The sequence below is a fragment of the Homo sapiens genome, chromosome 2 (genome assembly GCF_000001405.40).
Source record: "Homo sapiens chromosome 2, GRCh38.p14 Primary Assembly".
NCBI classification, from domain to species: Eukaryota; Metazoa; Chordata; class Mammalia; order Primates; family Hominidae; genus Homo; species Homo sapiens.
Genome location: NC_000002.12, coordinates 76,105,018 through 76,123,011, shown reverse-complemented (window position 1 = coordinate 76,123,011; position 17,994 = coordinate 76,105,018). Strand labels below are relative to the sequence as shown.

The 17,994-nt window shown below is 36.1% G+C and overlaps 1 pseudogene; it reads left to right on the top strand.

The window, feature by feature from the left end:
• On the top strand, positions 15,681–16,944 carry SUCLA2P2 (SUCLA2 pseudogene 2; annotated as a pseudogene).

Here is a 17,994-nt window from a genome sequence, read left to right as displayed (position 1 = left end):
GGGGTATTAAACTCACCAGCTTCTATCTCTTTCCTACCCACTCCCACTCCTACTTCATTCTTGAAGTACTTTAAAGAATGAAAGTACTTAGAGCACTTTCATTCTTTAAGACATAGAACAAAAAAGCCTCTTTTTTATTATAGTTGTCTTCACACCTTTAAAATATGAGTTACTCCCTCCAGTGGCTTCCCATACTTCAATATGTATTACATTATATTTTATTTTAGCATGTATATTATACTCTCACATGCTCCGTAACATTCAGCCAATGACAGACAGCATATATAACTGTGATCATATAAGATTATAATAATATATTTTTAGTGCACCTTTTCTGTTTAGACATGTTTAGATACACAAATACTTACCATTTTGTTACAATCAACTAGAGTATTTAGTACAGTAATATGCTATAAAAGTTTGTAGCCTAGGAGCCATAAGATATACCATATAGCCTAGGGGTGTAGTAGACCATATCATCTACATGTATGTGAGTACATTCTGTGATATTTACATAATGATGAAATTGCCCAACAATGCATTTCTTAGAAAGTATCTGCATTAAGTGACACATGACTTTTTTATATTTATTGATTTACAGTCCTATTTCCTGTGAATTTCTTGCAAGCAAGACCATGCAATTCTTATTTGAGGTCCTGCTGTCGTCAAATAGCTCAATAGATGTTTATTAGTAAAATGAAGGAATACGAAGACGACATAAAATCCCAGAAGAGCTAAACCTCAGAACTCTAAACCTATATCTTGGTTCTCTTTGCTTTTTAAGGTAGAATGTATATACCAAGACTTAAATAGTAGTCATAGTCTAGGAAGCTTTCTTGGGGAAGCAGTAAGAAATAGTTCACCTCATTGGGTGATAGTCCTGGTCAGCTGCAAAGTGAAGAGAATGGCATCTATATTCTCCTGTAAGGATAGAATTCCTTCTCTTCCTTCTATTTCTGCATAGACATGAAGGGGGACAAATTTTCCTATCCTAATTGAGTATTAAATTTATTTTTAATTTTCTCATTTTATTCATCAGTTTTTTGCCTTTTTCCCTTTTGCTTTCCTTTTTCCTCCTCTTTTTCTATTTTGTCTTCCATAATGCAACTTCTAGGGAAGAAAAGAAGAATGCTTTGCAAAGTGGGTGGGGAAAGACAGGGCCTAAAGTAGATAATTCATATTTCTTTTTTCATTACTCTATAGGCCTCACTCCAAAATTACGATAAATTTTCATCTTCAAAAGTATCATCTGGAAATGTAAGAAATATTGAAGACAAGAATAATATATGGTTTGACTTCAAATTTGTCTGTTTTTGTCTTAAAGACAAGAACAACATATGGTTTGACTTCAAATTTGTCTGTTTTTGTCTTAAAGACAAGAACAATATATGGTTTGACTTCAAATTTGTCTGTTTTTATCTTAAAGACAAGAACAATATATAGTTTGACTTCAAATTTGTCTGTTGTAGAAAAAGAAAATTGACTATTTCATGCTTATTAGGAGAAATAGAGGTATACCAGTTCAACAGTATAGATTTTTTAAAGATTTTTCTTTTACTAGTAATAGATTACCAAAAGCATTTATCCTGTAGACATTACAAGAAGACCACTAGTTGCTATTATGCTGAAGGCCCATCCTCTTCTCACTGTTCAAATCAGGGATGGTACTGGGGCTCTGTGCTAGGGTCCTGGTTCCCACACACCCTATAAAATCTCCTCCCTTTGAGCATACATGTGTCTAAGATGGAAGAACACGTTTTGATTAGGTTGTGTTATGTTAGACCCTATGTTAGCCAACTAGAGAGAGGCTCCCTGGCTGATTTTGACTAAATAAGCTGCCATAGTGTGAGTGGGCCATGAAACTAAGACCCAAGGGTGTCTTATAGGAGCTGAGAATAATCCCTGGCTGACAGCCAGCAAGAAAACACAGGTCTCAGTCCTACAATCAGTGTATTAGTCCGTTTTCACACTGCTATGAAGAAATAACCGAGACTGGGTAATTAATAAAGAGGTTTAATTGACTCGCATTTCCACATTGCTGGGGAGGCCTCAGGAAACTTACACTCATGGAGGAAGGCAGAGGAGAAGCAGGCACCTTCTTCAAATAACAGCAGGATGGAGTGCATGCTGAGTGAAGGGGGAAGCCCCTTATGAAACCATCAGATCTCATGAGCACTCACTTACTAGCAGGAGAACAGCATAAGGGAAACTGCCCCATGATTCAATTATCTCCACTTGTTATACCCTCAACACATGGGGATTATGGGCATTACAATTCAAGATAAGATTTGGGTGGGGACACAGATCCTAACCATATCAACCACAAATAACTGAATTCTTTCCACAACTTGAATGAGATCGGAAGAGGACTCCAAGCCTCAGATGAAATGGTAGACTAGCCAACATCTGGATTTCAACTTTATGAGATCCTGAACAAGAGACCTAGCTAACCCATGGCAAGACTTGTGATCTACAGAAATTTTGAGATACAGTACTAAATTTGTGCTTTTTGAAGTTACTCAGTCTGTGGTAATGTGTTAAGCAGCAATAGAAAAGTAATGCAAACCCAGCTGAGGTCCTCCCATCACTGTAGCTACACTTCTCTTTCTGAGTTGGCAGAGGCTGAGTCAGCCCTTGGTGTCCTGCAGTCTGGTGCCAACTGTCATGTGTGCAGAACCACTTCTCCCAGGAATCCAGTTTGTGGAAGATGCACTTTCCTAGTTTCCAGTGATGTTGCAAGTCCTTCTGCTTCTCTTTTTTTTTCCATTTTATTTTTCTAAATGAGGATCTGAGAGATAGAGGCCTATGACCGAGCTTATGCTGTCATTTTACTTGAAGTCTTGAATTTGCTTTTGAAAAGAAATTACATTAGTTTTAAATTAGACAATGAGCTGACTTTCAAGAGGGGAAAGAAGCTTCTTTTAGAGAATATGCAACTGTCATATATTGCAAGTATCATAATTGGAGATAATAGTATAATGAACAATTTATCATTTAAATCATGATTCTTTTTATATGAAATAGGGAAGCATAAATTAAGACTGTACTAGGAAAATCAGAATGTATGGTTTTCCCTGCTATTAGCCAATTGCAATCTTTTAAGAACTAAGATCATGACATTTTAAAATATTTTTAAAAGGTAGTTGATTTTACTCATAATATTTTATCTATAAATATTTTAAGTAAAGAAAGAGTATAAACACAAGAATAAAAAATATTAATAGAAGACATATAATGTGGAAGAGAATGTCCAAAAGTACGTTCCTGGAGCCCTGCTCATGGTTAGTTAAAATATGTTTATACACAAAACACAAAACAACATTATATAGTCAAATAAATTTGAGACATGTTGGCTTAAACAAAGTTAAAAAATGTCTTCAGGATTTCTCAGAGCCTTGTTATACATTGAGAAATATTTGTGTTAAGAAATTTCTAGGAGATAGCATAAACAGCACTTCTCAGACTTACATATTCACAAAGCATGAGCTGAAACTAAACAACAGCAGTTTCCAAAGCAGGTGGGAACCAATTTTAACCATGTTTCAATTAATGCCTATGTGAGATCATATTTAATGCCATTTTTGAGTAAAATAGGTGCTTGAAAGTTCTCCTATCTTTCCATTCTTTTCCAGAAATTAATGAATTATTCAAAATAATTTTCAAATCATAGACAATTTTCAGACACCATCTCCTCAACGGGACTTATATGTTAACCATGTCATATTTATAGTTTCCTTGTATTTTGTTTTTTTCTGTGTGTAACTTCTAACATCAGCCAAATAACATTTAACCTAAGGTATATTTAAATCCATGTAATAACTGAGGAATATAGAGTAAAGAAAGATACGACTTGAAAATTGAGTCATTATAAAATTGATGACGAAACATAATACCCTCCAGTCTTTAAAAAACATTAACAAATAAATCAGAACTGTAATAGGCACCATTCCTTTTTAGTTTTAATTTTTAAAGGTATTATTTAATATAAATCTACAAAATGCACAGATATGAATAATACAATTATATCAACAGTTATGACAGTACTGATTAGATGCTGAATATTGTTCTAAATTATTTATACCTACAACGACTCTAGAAGCAGTAACTATTCTGATACCTGTTTTTTTTAACTTTTATTTTAGGTTTATGGGTACATGTGAAGGTTTTTGTGTAGGTAAACTCGTGTCATGAGGGCTTTTTGTATAGATTCTTTCATCACCCATGTATTAAGCCTAATACCCAATAATTTCTGCTCTTTTCCCTCCTCCCACTCTCTACCCTAATGTAGACCCCAATGTCCATTGTTCTCTTTTTTTTGTTTTCATGTGTTCTTATTATTCAGCTCTCACTTATGAGAACATACAATATTTGGTTTTCTGTTCCTGTATTAGTTTGCTAAGGATAATAGCCTCCAGTTCCATCCATGTTCTTGCAAAAGACGTGATCTCATTTTTTATGGCTGCATAGTATTCCATGGTGTGTATGTACCACATTTTCTTTATCCAATCTGTCACTGATGGGCATTTAGGTTGATTCCATGTCTTTGCTATTGTGAATAGTGCTGCAATGAACATTTGTGTGCATGTGTCTTTATGGTAGAATAATTTATATTCCACTCAGTATATACCCGGTAATGATATTGCTGGGTCAAATAGTAGTTCTGCTTTTAGCTCTGTGAGGAATCACCATACTGCTTTCTACAATGGTTGAATTAATTTATACTCCCACCAACAGTGTATAAGTGTTCCCTTTTTCTCCACAACCTTGCCAGTAACTGTTATTTTTTGACATTTTTATAGTAGCCATTCTGGCTGGTGTGAGATACAATTTCATTGTGTATTTGATTTGCATTTTTCTAACTATCAGTGGTATTGAGCTTTTTTTCATATGTTTGTTGGTTGCATGTATGTCTTCTTTTGAGAAATGTCTGTTCATGTCCTTTGCCCACTTTTAATGGGGTTGTTTGTTTTTCTCTTGTAAATTTGTTTAAGTTTCGTATAGATGCTGGATATTACACCATTGTAAGATGCATCATTTGCAAAAATTTTCTCCCATTCTGTAGGTTGTCTGTTTATTCTGTTGATAGTTTTTTTGCTGTGCAGAAACTCATAAGTTTAATTAGATCCCATTTGTCAATTTTTGCTTTTGTTGCAATTGCTTTTGGTGTCTTTGTCATGAAATCTTTGCTCGTTCCTATCTCTAGGATGCTATTGCCTAGGTTGTCATCCAAGATTTTTATAGTTTTGAGTTTTACATTTAAGTATTTAATCCACCTTGAGTTGATTTTGTATATGGTGTAAGGAAAGGGTCCAGCTTCGATCTTCTGCATATGGCTAGCCAGTTACCCAGCAGAACTTATTGAATAAGGAGTCTTTTCTCCATGACTTGTTTTTGTAAGCTTTGTCAAAGATCAGATGGCCATAGGTGTGCAGCCTTATTTTGGAGCACTCTATTCTGTTTCCTTGATCAATAAGGTACCATTTCTATTGAAACTGTCTTCTGGTTTCTTGTGAATGTCATAGAGGTTTGGGAGACCATCCTATCCAAATTAGATCCCTTATCTCAAGTTTGCTTTACTTTTTCCTCAAGATAATTTTCTTTATAACATTTGTTCACCTTGATTTGTAATTTATTTGTTAGTTAATATGCCTTCTTCTATTAACCTTTAAGGTTCAGGAAGGCAAAAAACAGGTATATTTTCTTCACTGCAGAATTCCCATGGTCTGATATACCTTCAGGCACAAAATCATCATTAAATGTATTTTTTGAAGATTCAAATTAAGTAAATAGTTTATTAGAAAAGCATTGAGAATTAGTTGTAAATTTCATCCTAATCTAGTATAGGGTAGTAGATTCACTTGTCACTAAGGGGCTATCCCTCTGCTAAAAACTAAACCAGAAACTCCATATTAAAAATAAAGACATACACTCATACACACACACACACACACACACACACACACACACATATCATGACATACAGCCTAACTTGAACCAAATAGAGCTAAATTTCTAGGCTTCCAAAATGAAATAAGGTGGCTAAGGAGAAACTGTCAACGTGGCAGCCTACAAAGATTTGGTTCTAGATTTCAACGTTGTAGAAAAGGAGCTAGTATTCTAGCATCCGCATAGGCCAAAGAAATAATCGAAACCTACATAAAGCAGGAAAACTATTACCCCTTAAAGAGAGCTTCACTGAAATGTCCACTCATTTATGTTAAACAGAAGAACTGCATCCATTATCTCCGGGAAGCAGCAAAAATGTTTGCTACATCTCATTAGGGATGTTTGGATGAGAAAAAAACTCCGCACCAATAAATCAAAATTCCAAGCCCTCGAAACCTACAGATATGGGTCCAAGTGTATAATACCAGCCTGGTACAGAAACTGCAAGCTGAGCACCTGACATGAAGACAATTTCAGGATTACTGACACAAGGAGATGCCCAACAAATGCAAATGCAGACCTGCTCTGTAGGGCCACTTTCACAAAGCTGCAGTCAGATGGGGATAGTGCCTCATTAATAGCTCCTTGTAAGAACTGGAAGAACTTTGTTGAGAATAGACTCTAGAAAGGTAAAAGCAGAAGCAGTGAAGGTAGGAGACTACAGCAGTAGACTAGAAAAGATTCATCACAACGGTGACTTCAACCAAGTGGAAAAGGTGAAAACTGGTGGAATCTGAACAAATTGCAAAGTTTGATCAGACAGGGTTTGCTGATAAATAGAAAGTGGTATATGAAAGATGTCTGTGTGATGTCAGTGAACAAAGCACAAGTTACCAAGAAGAAATAATAATCCTGAAATTGATCAGACCCAATAGCAACATATCCAACTATATAAAACAAAAAATGAGAAAACTACTAGGAAAGATTGACAAACTTACAATAATAAAGGGTAATTTTAACACATCTATCTTAGGCATTAATATAATTAGCAGGAACAAATTACTAAGCCTTAAAAAATATGAAATTAGAATATATAAGCCTAACCTAGTAGGCATAAATTGAAGTCTACATCCAGCAAATATACAAAGCACTCTTTTTTAAGCACCCATAGAACATGAAAAAAATTGACATACCATAACGGTAGTTTCAAGAGATGATGATATTTTCTTACCACAGTGCAATTCATTTTTAAATCACTCACAGAAAAGTTAAAATGATAGTGTACTCATATATTTGCTTTGTTTATCTGATCCTGAGAATAATAAATGCTAATTTAATTAATTAAATTTTTCAGACCGTCACTGTGGATTTTAGCCAACATATCTTGTCATCGACTTGCTATTTCTCCAAGACACCTCAAATAAAAGATTGGTGCAAGTGCCAATTCCATGGTTCAAAAAAAATTCAAAAACAGTGATATTCTGCAAGCAAAGCAAGTTCATAATATATTTTAAAATTCCATGTATACATTTGATCCTCTTCCTTACAGATGTTTAAACTGTTGTCTCTAATTATCAAATTCCAAGGTTACACCTCACCATAACAGCCCTCTTCCCTCAGAAACCTACACATAGTTCCTAACACAATACAGCACTGAACCATTTATTGATCTGAGAAATTCAGAAGAGAGTGGATGGTTTATATCTAGAATTTGTGAGAAGAGAGAACTTTCTGATACTTACTTTGAAAAAAAAAGTGAAATATACTTTTTTAGATTCTGTTTTGATGGTAGAGACTTCATTCTTCAAAGTTCCCCCACAGTGATATATGACACAAGAGTCTTTGTGGAGATGTTAGGGTCCTATCATGTGTGGGCACATATGACCTGAGCTATGGAGCCTTCTGACTTCTGATGCCCGCTAGGCAGCACAGCAGATCTTTGTTATCCTCATCACCACTTTTGCCTCATTTAAAAAAATTTCTAGATAAGCTGTTCATGTCTTCACAATATCTAAATAATTTTCCCCTCTTCTCACCTTACTTGTCTGAAATGGTCCACGAGAGACTAGTTAAAAATAACCTTTTTAGCAGTAAACAGGCATTCTTCTTAAAATAGGAACAAAATAATCCTCATAGGAAAAAAAAAAAACACCTCATACTCAGAAACAAAAGATAAAAGCAGGAGGATTTGAAAACTCATCTTTTAAGAAACTTAAAAAATGATTTTGAAGTTTTAAAACATTTCTAATCATAATTATTTTGTTACTTCAGGAAATATTGGGAAAAACAGTAAACTTAGAGTAGTTTTTTACAATATAATTATGCTGAGAAATTTTGAAATTATTAAAGTTGCTCAAGATACTTGATGGAAAATAATACATTAATACAAACTAAATGACTGAGACATTTCTATTTTAGAAATCTATTATGTGGCATCATAACCCTAGTTCAATGCTTCACTGTCTTCAATACGACAATAGATTTGATACTAAAGACTTCAAGGGTATCACTTTTTTGCTATTGTTTTGCCTCATTTGTAAAACCACTACAATGGTAGTACAATTAATGGTACAATGGTACAATTAAGAAGAGTTAAAAATTCAAAAATTCTAGTGATTTTTTAAAAATCCATAATGTTTAATTTGAGTAATTTCTGTACTTGCTATATCAGTTACAGCCCAGGAAGAAAAAAAATCATACACTTAAAAGGATAATGAAAGATAATATAATGAAGAAGATATTTCTGAAGTATGGACAACTCCCCTGTTAATGAACTAACCCTAAGGAGTGATGAGGCACTACCTGAGGTTTAGCCACAGAATACTGCTGTTACTGTCTCTAGGCCAGAAGTGAATGGTGTTATCAGAGACAGAAAGCTTCAGTCTTAAAAAAGAGGCTGCCCAGTCGGGCACTGTGGCTCACACCTGTAATCCCAGCACTTTGGGAGGCCAACGCAGGTGGATCACCTGAGGTCAGGAGTTCGAGACCAGCCTGGGCAACATGGTGAAACCCCGTTTCTACTAAAAATACAAAAATTAGCTGGGCATGGTGGTATGCCACTCTAATCCCAGCTACTCAAGAGGCTGAGGCAGGAGAATTGCTTGAACCTGGGAGGTGGAGGTTGCAGTGAGCCGAGATAGCGCCATTGCACTCTAGCCTGGGCAACTAGAGCAAAACTCCACCCAAAATGAAATAAGGTGGTTAAGGAGAAAGCCCCCAACCACCACCAAAAAAAGGGGAGGGGGCTGCCCTATGAACCTGCTATCATAAAGCACTGGACATCAAACAGATGTTTCTGGATCAGCACCACTGTCACGTGAAAAGTAATTGGAAATGCAAATTCCTAAACTCTACTCCACATCTACTGAGTCAGAAACTCCGGGAGTGGCACCAAGAAATCTGGGTTTTATCAGACCCTCCAGGTAAATCAGATGTGCACTTAAGTTTAAGAACCACTGTGTAAGAAGAAGAACACAACCAGAACCATGGTGAAGCAGAAAGGGAGAATAATAAATGCTTTAAAATATTTTTCCTCCACACATCCTCTCATCTGCTAGTGCCTCATCTTGGCAAAACTAACTGAAAGTCATAGGCAAGGGAGCCCAGGTGATGTCATTCATATGCAGCTTCCCAGGGCACAGAGCAAGGCAGAAAAATGCAGAGTTTGAAAAGGGTAGGAGAGCGACTAGGGAATAATCAGTAGACCCGTCACTCAAAGTAACGTGCCTTTAAAACTATATTATTTTTGTTAGTCAAAATTAATGTTTTCATTAACACCCTAAAATTTTGAAATTCTGGGTGAGTGAATAAGAGGATTTAAGTTTTCTCAAGGTTTCTCTGGCTGGGCGCAGTGGCTCAAGCTTGTAATCCCAGCACTTTGGGAGGCTGAGGTTCGTGAATCACCTGAGGTCTGGTGTTTGTGACCAGCTTGGTCAACATGGTGAAACCCTGTCTCTACTAAAAATACAAAAATTAGTCAGGGATGGTGGCACTCACCTGTAATCCCAGCTACTCTGGAGGCTGAGGCAGGAGAACCACTTGAACCTGGGAGGCGGAGGTTGCAGTGCCAAGAATGCACCATTGCACCCCAGCCTGGAAGACTAGGGCAAAATTCCATCTCACCAAAAAAAAAAAAAAAAAAAAAGATTTATTTAACACATAACGATTGTTGAGAGCATAGTATATCATCTATACCTGGAGCTTTATTTATTGTTATTACATTTGGGTTAATAATTACAAAAGTGCTTTAAGTGTCCATTTTAGAAATGAAAAAACTAAGATTCAGAGAGGTTAAATAATGCTTGAAGTTCCTTAGCTAGTAAGTGGCAGAAATTTAAAACCAGACTTTTTTGTGTCAAAGCCCATGCTCCGTCTATGATAAGATAGTGCTACTTACATAAAACTAATCAAGCTATGCCATGCATAATCCACTGAAGTTCTTATGATCAAGGACTAAATTGACTATGCCACATGTAAGGTGATCCCTAATTTTCCTAGCAGAGGCCTAATTTATGCATGTTGTCCTGGAATGTCCAGTGTTTGACAATAAACTATATGTTCACTCTCTCAACATGGTAAATAGAGGTGGTGTCTTTTAAAAATGCAATTCTGAATGTGTAGAGAAAATCCAGTTGGATCTCTAGGAGGAGAGATGCTTCTTATTGCATTTGTCAATTCTAATAGAAGACACAAATTAGACTTCAGTCTTCAAAGGCATTGACTTCCTAAAAAATGTTTTAGAGGGAGGAATTCTCCATGTTCTGGGGCCACATCTTGGTAAGGTTATGGAAATTTAAGGTGGAATTCACTAAAAAATAAAAATAAAAAATAAAAAATCCCCTGTCATCATTACTTAGTATAGAACATTTATTACCATCCCCTGGTGCAGACAATCCATGTGGATGGTATACGGCACATATAATTAAAAGTCTCTGCTTGGAAGTGCTCCGTGATTAATGCCTCAGGTAGGCATTTTGATTCCTATACTAATAGAACCTGACTGGCTCTGAAACGCCGGTGTTGTTCAGGTATCTCAGGAGTAATAAAAGGTTGCTTTTGGCTTATTGCACAATTCCTTGAGTCATTAATTATAGCTGCCCAAAGTGGAAAGTTTATAATTAAACATATAATTTACTCTTCTACTTTTGGATGAAGTAAATTAAGGCAATTAGATTTCTTTTGATTAAGCATATGGAGCCATTTACAAAGTGCACAGGTGTGTACAAGCAGAAGGTAGACTACAAAAACATCTATGTTTCAAGTGTATTTTGTCACTTTGTTGTCACTCTCTGGCTGAAGTAATTATGTTAATCCATTTGAAGTGGATTTCTTTAGTTTTTCTGGTATGCTGCTGCTCTGTTTACTCCTTGGCATCCTTAGCTACTTAAATAACAGCAAGTAATGATCAGCTGCAAGTGTCAGCTAATCACAAAGATAATTTTGGCTAGGAATATCCACACAATATTATTTTGGTGAATATCTTCTCTGTCATTCAACCTCCACATACATCCCATAATGCGTGTGCTATTTGAAAAACGACTATTGCAAAACAAGTTTTTTTTCTCAATTTATTGCATCATTATTCTTTTTCAATGTTTGCCATCTTCCAAAAAATATATCTATATTCCCACTGTTTGTGTTATGAACATCACAGTTCAAATGCAAAGTATTTTCTTTTTTCTTCAGAATGTGTTTTTCTGGGGAGGAATTTCACTGTGTCCCACTAGAGAAACAATTTGCATGTCAAAGATAACTGAGTGTCAACAGAATTATGACAAAAGGCCTCTACAAAAGCTTAAGTATTTCAACCATGATTTGTATAATTAGTAACTATGACTCTTACTGACTGTGCTTGTACCTTCCAAATGTATGCACATACTGTTATAAGTAAAATAAGCATTATTTTATTTTAAAACTACTGAATTTGTAAGACTTTTTCTTTTCGTATTTTCTATATCAATAGCTAACTGTGTAATTACTACTTACATGTAGTCTACATTTTAAAAAATTCAGTTGTCAAACTGAATGAAAGTGACTTCATTTCTCTATGATGCTCACCTTTAGCTGTCTTCCTTTCATTATGTGTATCTGCCAGATACAACCAGTGACTATAAGCATTACATAAAAGGACAACTATCTGTCATGGAAAGACTCCAAGGTGGCCCCCATGATCTCTATATCTTGATATTCATACTCTTATTTGATCCTTTTACCTTATGTGATCCTTTCTACTTGAATAAAGGCAAGCCCTGTGAATTGCCTTTAATCGATAAAATATGGCAAAGACGATAAGATGTCATTTCTATAATTACATTACACAGGTTTGTGACTTCTCCTCTCTGAGAAGATTCTGTCCTTTACTGTCTTTGAAGAAGCAAGCGGCTGCGTTGGCATATACCTAAGAACTAGGGGTAGCAAGAAACTGAAACCCCCAACAACTGTAAGGAAGTGAATTCTGCTGAAACCACATAAGCCTGGAAATGGATCTTCCCAGTCAACCTTGAGATGAGACCCACGCACTGGCCAACACCTTGACTGTAGTCTTGTGGGACCCTAAGCAGAGAACCAAGCTAAGTTGTGCCCAGACTTCTAACCCACAAAGACCTGTGAGATAATAAATGTGTGTTGTTTAAAGCCACTACATTTGTAGTAACATTGTTGCATGGCCACAGGAAACCAACATACGAAGTAAGAGTGACAGGAAGAAAGCAATCAGTGTTAGGGAAGCAGCAACCTCCCTACCAACCAACCCAGCCTAGTTGGAGAAAAGGAGACAGCTTGCTTTATTCGGAGCAAAACAATGTAAGGGCAGATAAATTCCTGTGAAAACCTGCTGGACTTTACAATCTGGATCCTCATCCCATTCCAATCAAACGCTTCCTGATGATTCAAAGGCATCTGCATTAATGAAAGCATCCTGAGCAGCTAGAATTACTGTTTTAATAGGCTTTTGGTACTCTGGAAGATCATCACAAAAGATCCTGTCTCAAAGTGCAAGGTAGAGATTGGGGAAGCAGCAAGCTCAGCTGTGATTTTTCCACCTAGCACTACTGTAGGGGCAGAATGGGCTGCTCCAGAAGATGCAGTTTCTCCTGTGGCTCCTCCAGTGCATGAGCCAATCATATTTTTGGCCTGAACTTTCCTTAGGGGATGTACTAATTAGAGAAGCCTTGATAAATCACAAGGGTAAGAATGAGGAGCTAAGTAAGTAAATTAATCCCCATGGCATGGATCACATTTACCAAAGAAATATAATAAATAAGATCTCACTACTAGAATATAATTTGCTAAAACACAAGTTGGTGACTCCCAGTTTCAGCTGTGATGAATAAAGAGCTTAGAAGTCAGCACTCCTGTGCTTACAAGAATAATTTTCTTAGACCTAGCAGAGAATCGAGGCTGCAGGATAAACTATCACCCTGAAGTCTGTAGAGATTTATGAATTAGAGTCACAGGAAACATCTGCTTACCTGAAGCACATGCCACTGGAGCCATGAGTTGGTAGCAACACATAAATGGTAACTTCTGACAAATTTCTGGCGGTTGACTATGAACTAGCATAAGAGTAAGAAATTTGTAATGGCAAAAATTGTGTAGGTTTTACATCCAGTAAAGCCACCAGGTTGTTAGTGTGAAGAGCTAAGAAAGGTTATTTCCAGGCTTGGACTAGGAAAAAAGAAAAGTAACCACTAGCCCAGGTGCTGTGGCTCATGCCTATAATCCCAGCACTTTTGGAAGCTAAGGTAGAAGTATTGCTGGAGCCCAGGAGTTCAAGACCAGCCTAGGCATAGTGAGACCCTGTCTCTGTCTCCCCCCACCAAAAAAAATTAAAAATTAGGGGGGTATGTTGGCATATCCCTGTAGTCCCAGCTACTCAGGAGACTGAGGCAGAAAGATTGCTTGAGTCCAGCAGTTTGAGGCTGCTGCCATTAGCTGTGATCATGACACTGCACTCCAACCTGGGCAACAAAGCAAGATCCTGTCTTAAAAGAAAAGAAAAGAAAAGAAAGAAAAAGGAGAAGTAACCATTGATAAATACTATTCCCAGAGTGTTCTCCATGGCAATATCTACACTCCAGGGAAAAAGATTTTACCATAGCCTTATCTCACCTGGGGGAAAGGCATTTACCCAACTAAAACCTCCTCTAGCTTTTTTGTCTTACCAAATGGAGTGGAGTAAAGCTAAGAAACACTTGTAAAGCCTACAATCCAAGGACCCAGGCCCACTAAAAAGCTGAGGATTGGTCACATTAAAGAATGCTTCCTTTCCACCAAACATTACCAGTACTCCAACAGCCTCCAGTATAACAACAGTAGATAACAGCTAAAAGAGGTACAAAATCTATCTAACAAGTTCTTAGGGCAGCCAAATGCAACAGACAAAAACACAGACATCAGAAGAATTTAAGGCTTCTGGTATCTACATCTACAAGCAAACATTAAAACACAGCTTAACTCCTAGCCAGATTAACATAAAACTACACACTAATGGCCTTTTACCTCACAGTTTCTATTACCTATATCATGTGCAGCCTTCAAAAAATTAAAAGGAAAGTAAAAGACAAGAAAAAAACACAGTCTAAAGAGATAAAGCAAGCATTAGAATCTGATTCAGACAGGACACAGATTTTGAAATTATCAGGCAGGGAATTTAAAATGATTATAAGTAATGTGTAAAAGGCTCTAATGGAAAAATGTAGACAATATGCAAAAACAGAGGAGTAATGTAAGCAAAGACAAAGAAACTCTAGGAAAACATAAAAGAAATACCAGAACTCAAAAATACTGTTGCAGAATGATGAATGTCTTTGATGGGCTCATCATGGGCCACTGGACATGGTCATGGAAAGGCTCACTGAGCCTAAAGATATGTCAGTGGAAACTTATCAAGCTGAAATGCAGAGAAAAAAAAGTGTGAACAAAACAGGACAAGAAATCCAAGGACAATTTCAAAAGGTGTAACAGAGGTGTAATTGGAATATCGAAAAGAGAAGGAAGAGAGAATGGAGAAGACAAAATATTCAAAATAATAATGGCTAAGAATTTAACTAAACTCATGACAGACAGCAAACAACAGATCCAGAACGCACACAGAACTCTAAGCAGACTAAACATAAACAAAAAGCAAAACCTGTATCTATGCATATCATATTCACATTGCAGAAAACAAATGCAAAATGGAAAATCTTGCAAGAAGGCACAGGAGATAAAAAAAAAAAAACTTACCTATAGAGAAACAATGAAAAAATTTACATCAGAATTCTTAACATAAACCATTCAAACAAGAAAGAATGGAGTTAAATATTTAAGTTTTGAAAGAATGAAACCACCATTCCATAATTATATATTCAGTAAAGTAATCCCTCAAAAGTTATGAAGGAATAAAGGCTCCTCATAGAAACAAAAGCTAAAGGAATGTATTGCCAGTAGACCTGCCCACTTAGAAATTTGAAACATTCTTTAGGGAGAAGGAAAATGATATAGGCCAAAACTAAGATTACCCAAAGAAAAGAAAGTGTCAGCAAAGGAATGCATGAAGGTAAAATAAAATCTTTTCTTTTTTCTTATTAATGTCTTATTAAGCTATTACTAATAGCTTAATTTCTAATTCATAATTGATCCCAAATAAAAAAGTTTGTTTAAAGTTATAACAGCAACAATATAGTAGATGATTACAGCATATGGATAAGTAGAGTGAATGATAGCAATGCCATAAGGAAAGGGAAAAGAGAATTGGAAATTCTCTATTACAAAGCAGCTGGAGGCACACAGCAGGAGGGGACAGGGTCAGACTTAGGAATGGTGGCCTTCATGTTCTATAGCTGACAATTAGCTGCCACTTTTCACAGCCATCAGTCCCAGACCAGACCATAGTACAGTCTACTGCCCAGGTTCTGGGAATTTCTGAGCTGTTTAATAACCAATAACTCCAAGTACAGCAGTAACAGCAAAAGAATCTCTCACTACATGAATATATGAATATGAAATTGTTGCAAGAAGCTGGTGTCTCCCTTCCAAAGGATATGTGGCAAAGTCACCAGATGAAGCTGACGCAATTGTCAAAAAATTAGGTTCTAAAGATGTTGTGATAATGGCACAGAATTTTGCTTGTGGTAGACAAAAAGGAACATTTGGAAGCAGTCCCAAAAGAGGAGTGAAGATAGTTTTCTATCAAGAAGAAAAAGCTGTTCCCTCTCAAATTATTGGGAAAAAGTTGTTTACCAAGTAAACAGGAGAAAAGGACAAAATATGCAATCAAGTATTGATCTGTGAGCAAAAATATCCCAGGAGAGAATACTACTTTCCAGTAACAATGGAAAGGTCATTTCAAGGTCCAGTATAAATAGGAAGTTTGCAAGGTGGTGTCAACACTGAAGATGTTTCTGCTGAGACTCCTGATGTAATAAAGAATCTATTGATGTCGTAGAAGGCATCAAAAAGGAACAAGCTCTCCGGCTTGCACAGAATATAAGATTTCCATCTACTATTGTGGATTCTGTGGCAGAAAACATGGTCAAGCTTTACAATCTTTTTCTGAACTACAACACAACCATGATAAAAATAAGCTCAATGGTATAAGATTCAGATGGAGCTCTGCTATGTTTGGACACAAAGATCAATTTTGATTCTAATTCAGTCTATCGCCAGAAGATCTTTGATCTACAGGACTGGACTCAGGAAGATGAAAGGAACAAAGATGAAGCTAAGCCACATCTCAATAACACTGGCCTCAGTGGAAAAATAGGCTGTCTAGTAAATGGTGCTGGTTTGGCTATAACCACAATAGGTATAAGAAAACTTCATAAAGAGACTCCAAACAGATTCCTTGTTGCTCATGTTAGTGCTACAGTCCATCAAGTAACAGAATCACTTATGCTTATCACTTCAGATAAAAAGAGGTACTGGCTATTCTGGTCAACATTTTTGGAGGAATCACTTGATGTTATGTTATTACACAGGGTATAGTTCTGGCTGTGAAAGATTTTGAAATTAAAATATCTGTTGTGGTACATTTACAAGGTTCACTAGTTAATGATGCTAAGGCACTACTAGCAGAAAAGCTACTAGAATGGCTTCAAAGCTCTCTGAAATAGTGACCTTAGTCAAGCAAACCCTTGTGTGTGTGTGTGTGTGTGTGTATATATATATAATGTAAGTTGCCAACATGATCTTAAAAAGCCACTGAATGGCTGAAAATGTTAATTTGCTATAATCATTGAAAATACTATGTTCTGTGTTATTGTTCTTTTTCTTTTCAGTGTGCGAAGACTGTAATTGTGATCTAGGCACACAGACTTTTAGAAGCATTTGGTGTGCATTTCATTCTGCTATTCAGGATGGACTATTTATATAAAGAACATATAATGCAGGTGTCTAGTTTTGTTTCGTTTTGTTTTATCAGTCAGTCTCTTTCACTTCTACAGAATATCACTTGGAATGTGCCTGTTTATATTGTTGGATATAAAGTTCTACATTGACAAGAGTCCTACAAACAAAATAAATGTGAAGAAAAATAACAAAATTGTTGGCCTACCCTTTTAAAAAGAGGTAAACTTTATAGGTTAAGAGATAAAATAGAATAATAGAAAATGCTAAATTAAAATTACAAAGGCAGAAGAGAAATAAAAAAAGTGTAACAAAAGAGTTAGAAACATGGTAGATATTAAGCCGACTATATCAATAATTACTTTAACTGTGAATGGTCTAAATACACCAATTAAAAGACAGACTGTCAGAGTAAATGAAATATACAAGACACACCTGTACATTCTACAGGAGACCCACTTTCAATACAAATACTCAGATAGGTTAAAGAAATGGAGAAAGATATACTATGCTAACACTAATCAAAAAAAAAAAGAAAGAGGAATAACTATTGTATTAGTCAGGATTCTCTAGAATAACAAAACTAATAAGATAGATGTATATATAAAGTCGAGTTTATTAAGGAGTATTAACTCATATGATCACAAGGTCCCACAACAGTTCATCTGCAAGCTGATGAGCAAGGAAGCCAGTCTAAGTCCCAAAGCTGAAGAACCTGGAGTCCAACATTCAAAGGCAGGAAGCATCCAGCACAGGAAAAAGATGTAGGCTAGGAGGCTAAGC